This window comes from Homo sapiens, chromosome 5 (assembly GCF_000001405.40).
Source record: "Homo sapiens chromosome 5, GRCh38.p14 Primary Assembly".
NCBI classification, from domain to species: Eukaryota; Metazoa; Chordata; class Mammalia; order Primates; family Hominidae; genus Homo; species Homo sapiens.
Genome location: NC_000005.10, coordinates 39,167,979 through 39,186,266, shown reverse-complemented (window position 1 = coordinate 39,186,266; position 18,288 = coordinate 39,167,979). Strand labels below are relative to the sequence as shown.

Below are 18,288 nucleotides of genomic sequence, written 5' to 3'. Positions count from 1 at the left end.
TTTTTAGTAGAGACGGGGTTTCACCATGTTGGCCAAGATGGTCTCGATCTCTTGACCTGGTGATCCTCCCGCCTTCGCCTCCCAAAGTGTGTGTGTTGCCTTTTCAATGTTTGAAAATTCTTGATTTTGTGTTCATGTTTTAGTGGAGCTTGAATTCAATTGTCCACCGTTTCTGTTTGTGCAGCCCGCTTGAGGGAAGAGAGGGGTGGGGTTAGTGTGCCCGGACATGGGGCACTTTGACAGCCAGTCTTCAATCCAGGTGCTCCTCTTTCCTCCTGGACAAGGCAGCCAGCGGGACTCTGCTCAGCTTCGCCCACTCAAGGGCTCACTCGTAGTTCTCAGTATTTCTGTTGTGTAGAAGTCAAAAGTGCCCGGCTGTCCCTGCTTCATACCCTCAAGTAGTCACCCATGGGCCCCTACCTGCTCCCAATATTCTCCATCTCTGAGTGCGGAACCCTCACGGAGTGGCTCCAACTTTTATAGCTCTCTCTCATGCTCTCTTTGGGCTTTTATTACCTCGTTGATCTGATCTCTCTTCAAATCTTTTAGGGATTCCTCATGGTTTCTAACACACTGTGGGTTTGCTTTTTTTTCTTACTTCCAGTGTGATTATGTGTGTGTGTGTATATATATATATATGTGTGTATATATATATATGTGTATATATATGTATATATATGTATATATGTATATATATACACACACACAATCATATCATATATATCATATATATATATATATTTTTTTTTTAGTCAGTTATCTTTTCTATCCTTTCTAGAGATTTAGGGTGAGCAGAGCTTGCTGCCACATGAAGCTCAGCCTACCATCTTGACTGGGAACTTTTAATCACATATCTAAGGGGGAAAACATTGGTAAGACATTTAACTGCTACAAAGCATCAATATCAGAAAAATAATGGGTTATCTTAAAAGAATCACCTAAGGCTTAGGTTTATACAATGCAAAGAAGAGTGAAAAATTCAATCATCCTCAGGTATTGACAGTGTATTTATGATAACAATGAAGAGTGTGCACATGGTAAGAATAAGACAACCATCCTAAAGAAGTTAATTATTTATCTGGGCTTCTCAATTCTTGAAATAGGTCAAGGAGAAAGCAGTGTTTACTTGATCTAATGAGTACTCTTCCCTATCCATAGGACTTAGAAAATCTGAAGAGAATTTTAACTTAGATTCCAAAATTAAAGTATAAACGCTAATAACATATAAGCTAAAATTAAAGTTAACTAAAGCTGGGTCAAAATTGTTTTCACTTACAGTACTTTGTATCTAGGGAAAAGAATGAATGTATATTGATGCTGAAGGATGTCCATGGCATATAATTAATGAATTAATATTTTATTATAAAATACATATAATTTCTGTAAAATTGTATAACTAAGTTAGAACAGGTTGTGCATCATCTCTTGCTTTTGAGAGCATACTAGTTTTAAAACCTGTATCCAACAAGTGATCTCTATTACAACATTAAAATGAACTTGGGGGCAAAGGATGGATCATCAAGAAATGTATACATTTATTGAAGAGATTTTTTTTAAGTAACACTAACAAACTGATGGAAGTTACTTCAGCATCTTGATTCAACAAAGAATATTAAAGTCCAGTTTTCAATAGCAGTAACATATTCAATAGCATATTCTGCAAATATGAAATTAATTGTTCCTTCAAATGAACTAGCCATTCAATGTGAGAATTCTTGGCAAATTTTCTTGAAAAGGCAAGAAAGTTAACCTTTTTGTAGTCTGTGAGTATTACCCAGTGGTTTAGGATTTTCATGTTCAAACTCACCAAAATAGCCCGTTTAACTTTTGTTTTCAAAATTGCACATTGTAGTAATTTGAAATCATATAAAGTCAAACAACATTATTGATTTTATTAAGATAAGTGTACCTACCTCCTCATAGAAGAAAACTTATTTTTTGTTAAATAATTGAATTCTTTATTGTCTTAAGATATTGTTCTTCTATTTCAATAACAGAACTTCAAAATATTTCAGATTTCATTGATCAGTTGGTTGAATTATAATTTACCTCAAAACTTTGACAACAATCTGCTTTAGATAGTTTTTGGGAATAATATAATCACATTTTCTTATAAGATCACAAAATTACCCTAGAAAATTAATTTTTAATTATTTACTTTCTTTCTGAAAACCAAAAATTGCCTTTTCTTCTAAATTACTAAATAGTAATATAATACTGGGTTTGCCAGTAGATCATATAAATTTTTATCATCTCAAATTATTTCACCTGATACCTATTATAAAATTTCCTTTTTACCCATCATTCCTCAAGGCAGTGTTTCTCCCAATGTGGCCTGTGGATCATCTATACCAGAATGAGCTTAGATGCTTTTTAAAAATGAAGATTCCTGCCCTTATTCCACCACCACCATAGCCCCCTTCCTGAATCAGAACATCTTGCTTTGAGGCCTACGTATCTCCATTTTTAATAACTTGCCCAGGAGATTCTTATGTATACTGACAATAGAAACATTTTAACCCAAATCAGTCCATCTTTAAGTGGCAAATGCCTTTTTGATTTTTACAAAGTCAAGAATAGCTTGTTTTGAGTTGTTATAGAAACTCATTTTTTTAGGGACACATAGAGAGTAGGAATGGAAGAATAGAGATATCAAGGAAAACAACTTCCTGTAAACCAGGCAGTTGGTATGAATCATTCTAGAACATCTCACTGTAGATGCTGGGCTTGCCTCAAGTGATACTAGAGCTAGCATTTGGCAGTTCACTTGTGTAGAAGCTTACAAGACTTTTGGGACAACATTCATTCTCCCTTTATGCTCGACACTCTACCCAGTGCTTCTCTAAGAGGCAAGTACCCTTGGGATAGATACTAACAGGTCCAATGTATCTATTACGCTTGGTTTTAGTTGCAATTAAAGATGACTTGCATACAACCAGTCCTGGATTAGAGCTTAATCGTACCTTAAAAAAAGGAAACAAGGCCAGGAGTGGTGGCTCATGCCTGTAATCCCAGCATTTTGGGAGGCCGAGACAGGTGGATCACCTGAGGTTGGGAGTTCGAGACCAGCCTGACCAACATGGAGAAACCCCGTCTCTATTAAAAATATAAAACTACTCGGGAGGCTGAGGCAGGAGAAGCGCTTGAACCCAGGAGGCGGAGGTTACGATGAGCCGAGATCACGCCTTTGCACTCCAGCCTGGGCAACAAGGGTGAAACTCCATCCCTTCTACCCCCCAAAAAAGGAAACAAGACACCTATAGGAGACACAAGGACTTTTGAAGACAAACTTTGTCAACTTAGTTTTGCTTAGAATGAGACCTGTCTGTAGCTTATTTCCTTTTTCCTAAGAAGACAACCCTGCTCTGAACAACTTTGGAGGATAATGAATTTTTTTCTGAAACACCTGAAAAAATTAATAATAACAACAAATGGAAAAGGAAACAATAGCACAAATGCCGTGCAGGGCAGAAGGGCTAACTGTTGTAGGGAAAGTAGTAGCACAAGGAGAGACTAACTCCTCTGCCTCCACTGGGCACTTTATTCTACTAAATATATTTGACATCACCCATGTGCCAAGTACTCTGACTTTCAAAGACCTTAAATAATAGCTCCTTGTTTTTACCTATTGGTTCTATGATGAACTACCTAGCAAGGAAGATGATTCTCCTAAAAGAAGCTCTGCCTTCCCAAATCGTACCTGCATGGGTCACACTTACTAACCCAGCTAAAATGATGTGCATGACCTGAGTCTTTTTGAAAGCCTTTATGTAATTAAAATTTTATATTAACCAAAGGTAGACCTCAGGTCTAAATAAAAGCATTATTTTATTGTTTTGAGGCACCTGCACAGTACCTCTGGGAGCTTCCTCAAAATTTGACATAACCAAATAGCACCGGTACATGATACTTGACCACATACACACACACACACACACACACACACACACACACACACACACACACACACACACACACATGCATGCACACACACACAAAAAGCATTTGTATGTGCCACCTGCACTCTGTTCACACTGGCATTATTTGAGGAATGATAAGAAGATGAATGAGGTTGCAGTGAGGAGAAAGCAGGGAAAAGCAATAAAAAATGGTACTGGGGAGTTAGTTAGGCAGGAACCGAACCTTATATGTCATGTTAAGGACTTGGGGCTTAAGCCTAAACATGAGGGTGACCTGGTGAGGTTTTGATGTTTGGGAAGAATTCTTCTAGTAGCAGGAGTAGGCCAGTACATGATTTCAGCTACACAAGATGAATAAGTTCTAGAGATGTGCTGTACAGCAATCCAGCTCTAGTTAGCAATTAAGTATTGTGCACATAAAAATTTGTCAAGAGGGTAGACATTATGTTAAGTATTCTTACCACAATTAAAAAAAATTAAAAAAGGAAGTAGGAGATCATGTAGTAATCCATGAGCCTCGATTAAGGAGGTAGACATGGAGATGAGAAAAGAGGTTGGGTTTGGAGATACTTACACTAGAAAATAATGGATTGGTTGTGTGGATGAGAATGAGTAGGTGTCAAGGATGATGCCTAAGATTCTAGTTTAAACAATTACAGGGTCACAGGTTTTGAGAGAGTGACCAGGATTCAGGGGAGGACCATGATTTTTATTTTGAACATGTTCAATTTGAGGAATCTTTGAGACCTTGGAGATGTCAAATAAGCAGGCAGTGCAAGGGCCCAGAGCTCACAGGAGCTTCAGTTCTCGCTACATTGTTAACACTCCAGCCTACCTCTTGGGACCTGATGCTTCTCTGAGTTTTTATAATTCTACCTGCCTGACAGACTATAGATCTATCAGTTCTATACTGTCCTATATAGTATCCACTAACCACAGTGGATGTTTAAATTAAATTAAATTGAAATTCAAAATTCAGCTCCTCAGTTGCACTAGCCACATCTTAAACATTCAATAGCCACAGGCGACTAGTAGCTACAGTATATAAGTATACTATATACGCTATATAAGCACAAACATTTGAACATTTTCATCTTCTCAGAACATTCTTTTGGACAGCACTGATATAATGATCTGCTGCTACCTCAATTCTCACACCTCTAAAACTTACTTAATATTTCCCACAACATCATACGTATTCTGTTCTATATGGTGTCAGTTATTTCTGTCCCTAAATCCATATGTATCATGAGTTCCATAAAAGCAAGGACCATGCTCTCCTCTTCCCCAAGTTTCCCTGTATGCCCAGCAAAACACCTTTGAACTGTGTGCTTGGCAAGCATTGGTTGAACGAATGAGTGAGTGACTGGCTGAGTGAGCAAATCCCTGAATTTCTGTTCCAGAAATATATGGAAAAGTAATCTTTTATATAATCTCTTAGGCTTATACTGACAAAATAGCTATTAAAAATAAAAAATGTACGGTGGTAATATAGCCTGGTCACAAGACTGCTTCAATAAAAGGGTTTATTATTCACAAAATTATAATATAAATAGGGTAGAAGCTGGAGAAGTAGAAAGTAGATGGCCTCCTCTCAAGTTGCCTTCTGCCCCTACTGCTCTCCATCTTAGCTACACCAGCATTTAGTGGGAAATACCAACCACATTTTACCACTTCGTGGAGGCAGCAGCAACAGCATTAGCATCTTTTGCTAAAATAGCTCTGCTTCCATCTCAACTGTTTTCTTCCCCTAAGGAGCCAAGATACCTGGCCAGAGAACAAAAGTAGGGGTAAGAGTTCTGCCCACATAGTCTTCCTGGGTTGGTCTGGTCAGCCTTTCAATAGGGACTTTTCTAACAGGTCTTGTCCAACACCCAAAAGCATATGCTCATCACATATGCTGTTACAAAGGATCTCCTCCTAACACATAAGGATGGGAGGAATGGAAAAAGAATAGGAATGAAATAGGAATTAAGCGCTGGTGAAGGGCATCAGGGGAATGGTGAGCACGTGAAAATGGAAAAGAACAAAGGAGGCAAGGCTTGAGTAGAAACACTCCTCCTCACTTCTTCCAACAGCATTCTAGAGTCTGAAATTACTTTCCCGTTAATACACTAGGAAGAAGGAAATTATAGAAATATTATTCTGGACATGGCAAACATTGGGGAATGGTGCAGTGGTGGATAGCAATTATTAAACACCAACCATGTGCTAGGTATTGTTGTAGACCTCAGGAATCCAATAGAGATGAGACAGTTACGTCTCTGTTCTCCTGAAGTTTACCTTCTAATAGGAGTCATGGTCAGAAAAATGGGCACTTACATTACCACATGTTAAGTGCCAAGGTAAGGAGAATATGGGGTACTGGGTGCTTGAAGGCTTAAGTATTCCTGGAGGGTTAGATAGGGAAGACTTCCTACTGGAACTGATGCCTAAGCTGAGCCCCAAAGACAGAGTAGGCATAAACCAGGCAAGTGAGGGAAGAGGATATAGGTTGAGGAGAGGAGGTAGGGGTGAATAGACTTGCATGTGCAGGCCCCTGGAGAGAAGTAAAAGCTTTAAGTGCAGGGCTGGGCGTGGTCACTCATGCCTGTAATCTCAACACTTTGGGAGGCCAAGGTGGGAGGATCACCTGAGGTCAGGAGTTTGAGACCAGCCTGGTAGACATTGGTACTTGGGAGGCTGAGGCAGGAGAATCGCTTGAACTCAGGAGGCAGAGGTTGCAGTGAGTTGAGATCGCACCACTGCACTCCAGCCTGGGCAACTGAGCAACACTCTGTCTCAAAAAAAAAAAAAAAGAAAAAAGAAGAAAAGCTTGGAAATGGAGCAAAGTGGACTTTCCTGTAACTCAGAGCATCCGTGGGAGAAATGGAGAGGTGTGAAGTAAAAAGTTACTGAAAAGATAAACTGTATGTACTTGTTCCCTGACTCCTGAAAATGGAAAAGATTGTCTCATTATTTTTTTTCTTACTCTACCCATTTTCTTGTTCCCACACTGGAACCCAGACCCATCCTGCTGTTCCACTGCCATGTCTGGAGGAGTGCACAGTGGTCATGTTAGCAAGCTTTGGGACCAGGCTGTCTGGGTTTGAATCCGAGCTCTGTCCCTCCATAGTTGCCAGACTTTGGGCAAGTTAACAATTTGCATGTTTCCTCATCTACAAATGAGAACAATAGCGCTGCCTACCGTATATGGTTTTTGAGAGATTAAATGGATATTTTCATAAGTAGAGCTCTCAAAGCAGTGCCTAGCACACAGGAAGCACTCTAAAAATATTATCTGTTATTATCATGGACTTAAAAGGACTCTTGTTAGCTAGTGTGGGAACAAACAAGCCGACATTTACATGCAAAACTACGTATGGACTCTTCTGTGCCCCAGCCCGCGGAAAGCCAGGGCTAGATAGAAGATTTTCAAACTCAGCCAGTTTTCTATGTGCTTGACAAGATGATACGTTTCCTAACATAAAGGATTTCCTAAGATTATAAGAAAATTATCCGGTACCTATCAGAAAACTATTGCAATGTGTTAAAAGATGTTGGGGGGAAGCTGTCTAGTACACACAATGTTAATTTCCCAGGTGATATTTCTTTAAAGATTTTTTAAATTCACCTCAGTTGTCATCAGAAACATAATGGGAGGACTTATGCATTTTTTTGAATCTTGTTGCAGTTAAAAAAAACCTCAATGTTGCCCATGTTTTTCCACTTTATTTGGATATTTTACCAGTAACTTTATTTTCGTCTCTCTCCACATTACCTCATAGTCTGTCTTTATTCTCCCATATTACAGTGAAGATTCAGAGGCTCAGAGATTAAGTGATTTATACAATGTTATGTAATTCATAGGAAGGACAGCCAAAATTAAACCACGGGCATTTTGACGACTATAGAGTCTGAATTTGTTCTATGATATTTGAGCCTGACAGAGGCATCATCCCACTAAAGTGCTTGTAAAACTGTAGGGCATACAGTACACACTCAATAAACGCTACTGTAATCTCATCATGACTCATCTACTAAGCCTTCTGCAGGATGTTCACACATGAATGTTGCAGAGGAAAAATGATTCAAATACATTCAGAAAATCTTGGGTTAAGCAAAGTTAAATTAGTTCTCTTATTATAAAGTCTTTGAGACAGTAATGAACACTATGAATATCAAAGGAAAAGTATAATTCACAGCAATTTCCAAATCATATTTGACCACAGAACCTTTTTGTTCTTTCTCCCAAAATATCTAAGTAGGACCAATGTTCACAGGAATTAACTTTGGGGGAAATGCTGCATGAGGTCAATGCAGGTAACAGATAATACTTACAATTTTAGTTCACTGGTGGAAAATATTTTGTGTTTGCAGGAAAGCTATTTTACTGTACAAGAGCAGAAGTAGCATAAAAGGGAACTTAAAGTCATTGTTCTAAATCTTAATTTGCTTGAGATGGGGAAGCGGAGTGAGAACAGCTTTGCAAAAATATGTCACCAGTAAAGTAGGAAGTGGGTATTCTTGCAGCTTCTAACAGCTTCAGCAACTTTGTTGTTCAAAGCCAGAGCTGCAAGACACCTTATCTCACAAAGCATACACACGTACACATGCAATCTCCAGGACGTGAAAAAGAAAATGAAGAGAGTTACAGATTTTGTTGGTGCCATTTCATATATAAAATGTTGAGGCTCAAAAGTTTGAAGTAAAACAATGGCAAATTTTGTAAAACTCACTGTGGGAAAAAATAGTTTTGCATTCTAAATGATTCTATGACAATCAGTAGTTTGAGCACAATACGTTGTAGAGAACTTAATCAGCCTGCAGTTATTACATTGAGCAATGTGGTTAGGTTTAATGTCAAGAGATTCAGTCCTGGGCCCAACTCTGTCAGCTTTGGGAGACCTGGGACAAATAACTTCTTTGACCACCTTCTCATTTTGCAAAATGTGAAGGTTGAATTAGACCACCCCTGAGATACCTTCTAGCTCTATAGCTCTGTGAATTTAAAGGAACAGGTAGGTTACGGACTTCTTTGGTTTGTTAGTTACCCCAAGGAAATAGAGTCCTCTCTAGGTAGCAGGCGCACAATAGTAAGAAGGCAGCAACAGAAACAATAAACTTTGGAGGTTAGCCACAGCCCTCAGGAAACAAGATAGGTGTCTAGCCTCCAGCCTGTGGGGCCACTGCATGATGTTACTAAATTCAGGATGGTACTGAAATAAGTGTGAGCTACCAATGCCTGGAAATAATGAAAGCCATCAAAAAGTTATATTCTACTGTTGCCAGGACAAAAGTTCCTGAGATAGTCTACATCTTTCAAAGTCAGAAACAACATACAGGAGAATGAGGATAACTGCCTTCCTCCCACACACCCATGATGCCTAATTGAAATTGTAACCCCCCAGTCTCTGGAAATTAGGCTGGCCTCTTTCCTTTCTGTTTTTGCTCCTGCCTATCAAGATGAAACCTAGTTGTGGTTTTACCAGTGCATTTCTTTTAGCTGCCTACACCATCTCAATTAAAATGGGCTTGAGGAGCCACACCAAATAACTAGCACATGAAATAACTTCACTCAGAAAATCAGGAAGTTGTGTTGCTATTTTTATTTTACTTTTAACAAAAAGCCTCATTTCTGAAAAACTAATGTTTTCGTCTTTGTTTCCTTTCCCACAATTTATGACTGTTTTGAGAGACAAACAGCATTTATCTTTTTAAAGATTGGCACTTTTAAAGAAACACCAGTCAGAATAATCAAGAAATGAAGACCAATCATATGATCATCCAAAGTTGCAGGTTGTTAAATGTTTCATTGTTTTATTTCAAAGTATAGATTATCTTTTGTTAATGATTGTAATAGCAGCAGTGTGCCTTTCTAAACATGTTGTTCTTAAGCAAATATAAAAATGACTTGGGGCCTGGCATGGTGGCTCATGCCTGTAATCTCAGCACTTTGGAAGGCCGAAGCGAGTGAATCACCTGGGGTCAGGAGTTCGAGACCAGCCTGGCCAACTGGTGAAACCCTGTATCTACTAAAAATGCAAAAATGAGCTGGGCCTGGTGGTGCGCACCTGTAATCCCAGCTACTCGGGAGGCTGAGGCAGGAGAATCACTTGAACCCAGGAGGTGGGGGTTGCAGTAAGCCAAGATCGCGCCATTGCACTCCAGTCTGGGCGACAGAGTGAGACTCTGTCTTTAAAAAAAAAAAAAAAAAAAAAAAAAAAAAACAGAAAAAAAATGACTTGGGATTCTCTGAACACAAGACAACAAATATGAAGAGGCCACTGTGGGGCACTAGAATGAGTTCCCGTAGAAGGGAGGCTGTATTTGAGGAGAGCTGATCTGTGCTCTGTACCGGCCCCTGGAGCACATAATCCTTCTGGATCTCAGCTATAAAATGAGTGATTCCATATTCTTGAATGTCACTGATGTCTGGGACACACTATTCCTTATCCATTAGAATTCTCCTATCATAGGAATTTTAGACTCCCTGACCTTGAGCCCCTAAGAAGCCAGTAGCATTCACTAGGTTATTCACTATTGTAATGACCAAAAGCAACCCCTTCCCCCAACACCAGCACTCAATTCCAAACACTTCCTTGAAAGCTGGTACTGCCTACCCCCATTTGGAGGCACCAGCCAATGAGTTCTGAGATTCCTTTCTGCCCAGCATTCTTTAAGGAGTGGCCAGGAAGAATACTGGGTAGTTAGGAGCCTGCAGTTTAAAATCTCTCAGAAACATTCCACACAGCATGTACCCGCATGAAAAGGGCATATAAATTGTTGAGCCTATTATTAAATTACACAGCAGCGTTTCTACCTGCTTTCACAGCAAGTTTTGTCACTTCTCTTTTATAAGTCCCAGAAGAAGGCAGAGGTTTTCCCCAATGAGTCAAAAGAAGCCCCCAGCTAGTTACAACCATTGGACACCGGCATACTCCAGCCCATGTGAGTCACTTTCTTGATAGAATGGTGTCAACTCAATCCAACAATGTTCACCGCTTATATCAGAGTCATCAATCAACCGGAGTCTTCTCCAAACCCTGTCTCCCTGTCTGATAGATGTCTAACCCAGTTGCTGTTGTCAAACTCCCTACGCCTACCAACTGGGCTCCTTCTTTGACATATTCTTGGTTTCTCCTTAAAGAAGGTTGAATAGCCAATGTAGTGTCTGCCTGGCTGGATCTCCATTCTGTTCTCTTTTCCTACCTCATGCCCCTTTTCCCTTTCCCCAGCTTAGAGACTTGACTATCAGCAATTCCCCTCCTCCTTATTGTTTATTTGTCAATCTTGCTTACTCCTAAATAATCATCCCACCACAAACGCACACACACAGGTAAGAGCAAGCAAACAAATAGAACCATAACTTTTAAAAAATTTTACAGTACTCCTCATCACAAAGAAAAGCTGAGACACTGGTTTCTCTATGGGAGAAGAGGTCTCCCTGCTTCTGTTCGCCCTTAGTCTATTAGTTGTTGACTTTGCATTTTGCCTAGTCTCTTCTTAGCTTCCTCTTTCATCTTAGAGAGTAACATGTACCTTTTCAGTTATTTCACCATTGAGATGCTGAAAACACTAACAAAAATAAGATGCTTATGTTTTATCTTTTTAAGGTTTTTAAACAAACTAAAAAGAGAGAAAGAGCTTATTTTGATTTCATGGCATGATAGAAAGAACTTCAGACTTAAAGAAGAAAAACAGGATTTTAGTCCGGGAGCTCATGTTTTTAAGCTTTGTGTCCTTGAGTAAATCATTTATTAAACTTATCTGGACCTTGGATTTTTCATCTTTGATAAAAAGGGAGAGTGTTTTTCAGGGTTTCCTTATGCTATGTCATCCCTAAGTCTAAATGATATTCTTATTCCATGTGTTAAAGTCCTGTGCAGAACCAGGAAGATGGCTTCACAAATAATCAACTGGTTTGTTTATGCCAAATTATATAAAAAGCACTGGAACAGTAAATTCAAAGACTTTCAGTCCTAGGGTTTTATGGTTCTATCTCTAGGAACAGAAATTCTGATTCCTTGGTCATTTGTTCTATAAGTGATATAGGATAGGCCCAAAAGGGATTCTATGTACAGAAATCAGTAGCATTTTTATATACCAACAACATTCTAGCAGAGAACCAAATCAAGAACACAATCCCATTTACAATAGCTACAAAGAAAATAAAATACCTAGGAATTCATCTAACCAAGGAAGTCAAAGACCTCTTCAAGGAGAACCACAAAACACTGCTGAAAGAAATCAGAGACCACACAAATAAATGGAAAAAATGTTCTATGCTCATGGATTGGAAGAATTGATATCATTAAAATGGCCATACTGCCTGCCCAAAGCAATTTACAGATTCAATGCTATCACTATCAAAATGCCAATGTCATTTTTCACAGAATTAGAAAAATCTATTCTAAAATTCATCTGGAATCAAAAAAAAGACTGAATAGACAAAGCAATACTAAGCAGGAAGAACTAAGCCAAAGGCATCTTACTGCCTGACTTTAGACTATACTATAAGGTTACAGTAACCCAAAGAGCATGATACTGGTACAAAAACAGACATATAGACCAGCTGAACAGAATAAAGAACCCAGAAATGAACCTACACTTCTACAAACTATCTGATCTTTGACAAAACTGACAAAAATAAGCAATGGAGAAAGGACTCCCTTTTCAATAAATGATACTGAGATAAATGGCTAGCCACATGCAGAAAAATAAAACTGGACACCTGCCTCTCAGCATATACAAAAATTAACTCAAGTGGGTTAAAGATTTAAATATAAGATCTCAAACTATAAAAATCCTAGAAGAAAACCTAGAAACTACCCTTCTCAACATAGGCTTTGGTAAATAATTTATGGATAAGTCCCCATAAGTCCCCAAAAGCAATTGCAGCAGTAACAAAAACAGACAAGTGAGACCTAATTAAAGAGCCTCTGCACAGCAAAGGAAATTTCCAACAGAGTAAACAGCCTAAAGAATGGGAGAAAATGTTCAGAAACTATGCATCTGACAAAGGTCTAATATCCAGAATCTACAAGGAGCTTAAATCAACAAGCAAAAAATCTAATTAAAAAATGGGCAAAGAACATGAACAGACACTTCTTAAAAGAAGTTGTACAAGTGGCCGATAAACAAATGAAAAAATGCTCAACATCGCTAATCATCAAAGAAATGCAAATCAAAACCATAATGAGAAACGATCTCACACCAATCAGAATGGCTACTATTAAAATAATCAAAAAACAACAGATGCTGAAAAGGCTGCAGAGAAAAGGGAGCACTTATAAATTGTTGGTGGGAATGTAAGGTAGTTCAGCCACGGTGGAAAGTAGCTTGGAGACTCCTCAAAGTATGTAGAACACAACTACCATTCAACCCAGCAATCCCTACTACTGGGTATATACCGAAAGGAAAATAATTCATTCTGTCTAAAAGACACATGCACTTGTAGGTTCATTGCAGCTCTATTCACAATAGCAAAGACATGCAATTAACCTAGGTGCCCATCAACAGTGGATTGGATAAAGAAAATATGGTATATATACACCATGGAATACTATGCAGCAACAAAAAAGAATGAAGTCATGTCCTTTGCAGCAACATGGATGGAACTGAAGGTCACTATCCTAAGCGAACTAACACATGAACAGAAAACCAAATGCCTTATGTTCTCACTTATAAGTAAGAGCTAAACACTGAATACACATGAATGTAAAGATGAGAACAATAGACCCTGGGGACCACTAGACACAGGAGGGAGGGAGGAAGGTGTGGGCTCAAGAACCACCTGTTGGTTGAGTGATGAGATCACTGGGACCCCAAGCCTCAGTGTCACACAATACACCCATGTAACAAACCTGCATGTGTACCCTCTAATCTAGAATTAAAGTTGAAATTACTATTTTTTTTTTTTGAGATGGAGTCTTGCTCTGTCGCCCATCCTAGCATGGAGTGGCATGATCTCGGCTCACTGCAACCTCTGCCTCTCAGGTTCAAGTGATTCTCCTGCCTCAGCCTCCCAAGTAGCTGGGATTACAGGTGCACACCACTATGCCTGGCTGATTTTTGTATATTTAGTAGAGACAGAGTTTCACCATGTTGGCCATGCTGGTCTCAAACTCCTGAGCTCAAGTGATCCACCTGCCTCGGCCTCCCAAAGTGCTGGGATTACAGGCATGAGCCACCACACCCGGCCAAAATTATTTTTTTAAAAAGGGATTCTATCCTTTCAGTGGGTCTGCTTTGTCTGATTCTGTTCCCTTTCTGTGTAGAAAATTGGTGGTTCATATTATATAAAGAATGCATTAAAGACTGCTCCTCACCATGCTGCCTTGTTTTCCCCAATCTTTTCAATATATTATTTCCTAAAGTTGACTTCTGATTCTCCTCATTATCTTTACCATCCTTCACCCCTGCTTGTCACTTCCTCGTTTGTCCAATTACAAAAGAGGTAATGCCATGGCATCTTAACAAGGCTTTTCCCACCTTACAATCCCCAGGTTCTCTTACTTCAGCAAATGTTTGGCCCACGTATGCTTTGGCTCTTGCAGAAAGGGCAAGTGATAGCCAGAAGGAACTCTCAGACAATGAAATACTAACTGAAAGTGTCAGCTGGTAGTTAACGTGGTATTATTAAGAATTGCAAACAAATAAGTTGTGTTTCAAAACAAAAGAATGGGAGGTGACGATAGTATATACCAGGCAATATTGCACTTCAGTAGTGCAATAACTTCTGAAGTTATTGGTCTTTTCACAGCCTGCCTGTTGCCTCTTTAGGTTGAACTTCAAATGAGACATGTGTACCCACCATTTATTTTATATCAGTGATTCTCAAACTTCAGTGTGCATTAGAATCACCTAGAGAGCTTATTAAAACACAGATTGCTGGGCCCCAGACCCAGAGTTTCTAATTCAGTAGGTCAGGCATGAGGCCTAAGAACTTGCATTTGTAGCAAGTTCTCAGGTGATGCTGATGCTGCGAGTCCTGATTCCACAACTTAAAAACTACTGTTCTATACTATAATAGAAGAAAATGTATAAATGCTATCTTCAGGGTTTACTTTTTTTTTTTTGGAGACAGAGTGTCTGTTGCCCAGGCTAGAGAGCAGTGGCACGATCTCGGCTCACTAGAACCTCTGCCTCCTAGGTTCAAGCAATTCTCCTGCCTCAGCCTCCCGAGTAGCTGGGATTACAGGCTTGTGCTACCACATCCAGCTAATTTTTTTGTATTTTTAGTAGAGACGGGGTTTCACCATGTTGGCCAGGCTGGTTTCAAATGCCTGACCTCATGTCACCCCTCCGCCTCAGCCTCCCAAACTGCTGGGATTACAGGTGTGAGTCACCGTGCCCAGTCTAAAAATTCTTTTAAGCAATTTACTTAAGCAGAAACATGAATGGTAATACAATAATAGGGGAAAGGAGCGTTCTGATCAGAGAGCAGGGAGTACAAATTCCTTAGGTAAGAACAAGCTTTATGGGGTTAAAGAAACAGAAAGACTTGGATGGGCTGGAATATCACAGATGAAGGAGGAATAATGGTTCCAGATGAGGCTGGAGCAGTAGGCACTGACCAAATTCCATAGATCCAGAAGGTCACAGTTTGGAATTTATGATAGGAAGACATTGAAATTGGAGCCATAATGAAGAGGAATGTTATAGTCTGGTTTGCATTTTAGGACCTCTTTTTCCTGTGTAGAGCATCAGCTGTAGGCAAATAATAATGACACCAAAAAACTGGTGAGGAGGCTACTGTTAAGAGTCCAGATAAGAGATGATGAAGTTTGCACAAGGGAGGTCAAATGGAGGAGAAAGAAATGGATGAATCTAGAATGAGTTTCAGCTGTAGCATTAATGGGGAATTCTCATGTATTGGATGTAGGGAATCAGAAAAAAGGAGGGAAGTTTACTCAGCCTGGGCCCCCTCCAGGTCTGCTGCTGAGGGGGTCCGGCCCAGGACGGCGACAAGACCACGGTGCAGCTGGCCCAGAGTCCTCAGGTTTGCCAATAGGATTATTCTGCTGCCATCATGTCTTGGTTTGTTGATCTTGCTGGAAAGACAGAAGATCTTTTAAACTGAGTTGATCAAGGGGCTGCAACAGCTCTCAGTAGGAAAGACACCACCACCAGCAACATCATATATAGCAAAAATACTGACTATACTGAACTTCACAGAAGTTCAAATACAGATTTGACATATCAGACTTGACCTGTAGCTACTTATACTTCATCAGCAACTGATAACATTTGAAATCAAAAAGCCACCATCTTAGCTGGCACTGCAAATGTGAAAGTAAGATCTAGGACACCAGTGGAGGCCTCTCATCCTATTGAAAATTCATCTGTTCCTAGGCCTTCATCCCAATTTGTGTGAACAAGAAAGTCAGAACCTGATGATGAGCTGCCCTTTAATTTCCTTAATAGTTCACAGAAGGAGCCTACTGGGAGGGTGGAAATCAAAAAGGAAAAAGGAAAGACACCTGTCTTTCAGAGTTCTTGGACGTCAAGTGTTAGTTCTGTGAACCCCAGTATAACCACCATCAAAACCACTGAAGAAAATTCTTTTGGAAAATGCATCATCAAATGCTGCCTGCACTGAGCACATCCCAACACCTAATGAAGATGGCAAATCACATGAACTATCTAACCTTCGACTGGCCCGGCTAATTTTTGTACTTTCAATAGAGACAGAGTTTCACCATGTTGGCCAGACTGGTCTCGAACTCCTGACCTCAGGTAATCCACCCGCCTCGGCCTCCCAAAGTGCTGGGATTACAGGCGTGAGCCACTGCATCTGGCCCTCCTTGGTCTTTCAACTGGAGCACCTCAAACAGCAGATGGACTCTGCCTCTGGAAGTAGTAGTAACGGGTCTTCGATTAATATGTCTGAAATTGTCAATGGTGAAGGCACTCTTCTGTGAAATGTTCCTGTTCTTTTTAATGGCACAGAAACTAATCTGGCAGGAATGTACGGAAAAATTCACAAAGCTAGTTCAATTGACCGGTTTAGTATTCGTCTGGGAATTTTTCTCCAAAGATACCCCATAGCATGAGTTTTTGTGATTATATATATGGCTTGGCTTCACCTCTGGGTCATGATTGTTCTGTTGACTTATACACCAGAAATGCACCACGACCAACCATATGGCAAATGAACTGAGCCCAGATGTTGCAATGATTAGTTGTCTTTTTCTAAACTTGGGATCTGCAAGAAGGCCAATTGCCTAAAATTTCTGAGAATGTGCACAAGATTATTTTATCACTACAAGCTTTTAACTTTTTAAGTTATTATGCAAGTATTCTGCTACCTAAATCTTCCTATTTCCTTTAAATGGTAAGAGTTTCTAAAAGAGACAATAATTTAACAAGCTCAACTCTGCTTTTTCTGAGTTCAGTGGTCCTAATATACATGTAGAGAAAGATGCTGGTGGTGTTCACCTCTGTACAGACCATCTATATGTTAGGTGACATTGATAATGGGTTACAATCAGGGAAACTAATTGTATTTAGTGACAAAAATAAAAAGTTTCCTATTTTGATTAAAAAAAGAAAAAAGGAATTAATATGAATGATTATTACATATTCATTAATTATGTGTTCATTTCACCAATTGACTATTATGTTTGGACTTTATACACGATTATATGCACAACAGTAAATGTGACTACGGTTTTTAACTTAATTTTTATAATATAGTGACAAGATTTAAGAATTAGACTTAGAAGCTGTAAAACCTGGCATTGTTTGATATTATAGTTAGAATTATTAAGCAAAGTATACAGATTAGATAAATAAGGTGGAGGTATCTTTACATGCAATTGATAACCTAACTGTGGCAATTAGGGCAGTATAGATCAACCCAAGGTCTTTGGACATTCTCAGAAATCCACAAATTTCTTACACAATTTTTTACATTATGTTTTCATTCAGTGAAAGTCTAAAAAAAAGTTAATGGAAGAATAACTTTTTCATTAATTGTCATTAAAATACACCTTTACTTGTCTCAGGCTAACAAGTGCAGGCCAAACATTGTCATGATGAACTACAGAAACAAAGGTTTTACAGTAATTGAAAGAAGAAATGTAGTGGGAAAACTGAGTTATAATACATGACATGATAATATAGCAATGCTAAACTCAAGAGAAATATTCCTGATTACGGCACTTTAATTAAAAATGGAATATGAATGTGGGCTAAAAGTTTTTGAAAAAAATAGGCTTACTCAGCAGTTAAACACATGCTACCAATTGCAAAGGTTTATTAGCACCGTAAGAAAGTTACACAGAGACACATCTAGTTTGACTAATTTTTTTTCACTAAAATATCCATAATAAGGGAAGAGAATTAACATTTATAAAGTGTCTTTTGTGAGTTTGTGATGGGC

At 39.1% G+C, this 18,288-nt stretch overlaps 1 protein-coding gene and 1 pseudogene across 16 annotated transcripts in view, besides 2 other annotated features; both read left to right on the top strand.

Annotated features, from left to right (window-relative positions):
* The window catches only part of FYB1 (FYN binding protein 1), a 169,277-nt gene that overhangs the window by 88,262 nt on the left and 62,727 nt on the right, over positions 1-18,288 (top strand). The window lies entirely within an intron of this gene.
* Positions 9,217-9,296: an enhancer, noted in NCBI's record as "active region_22497". NCBI's record gives its function as "activates an Ori minimal core promoter by ATAC-STARR-seq in GM12878 lymphoblastoid cells {active_cell/tissue: GM12878}" and the evidence as "EXISTENCE:reporter gene assay evidence [ECO:0000049][PMID:35858748]".
* Positions 9,327-9,386: an enhancer, noted in NCBI's record as "active region_22496". NCBI's record gives its function as "activates an Ori minimal core promoter by ATAC-STARR-seq in GM12878 lymphoblastoid cells {active_cell/tissue: GM12878}" and the evidence as "EXISTENCE:reporter gene assay evidence [ECO:0000049][PMID:35858748]".
* GOLGA5P1 (golgin A5 pseudogene 1) lies at positions 15,805-17,445 on the top strand (annotated as a pseudogene).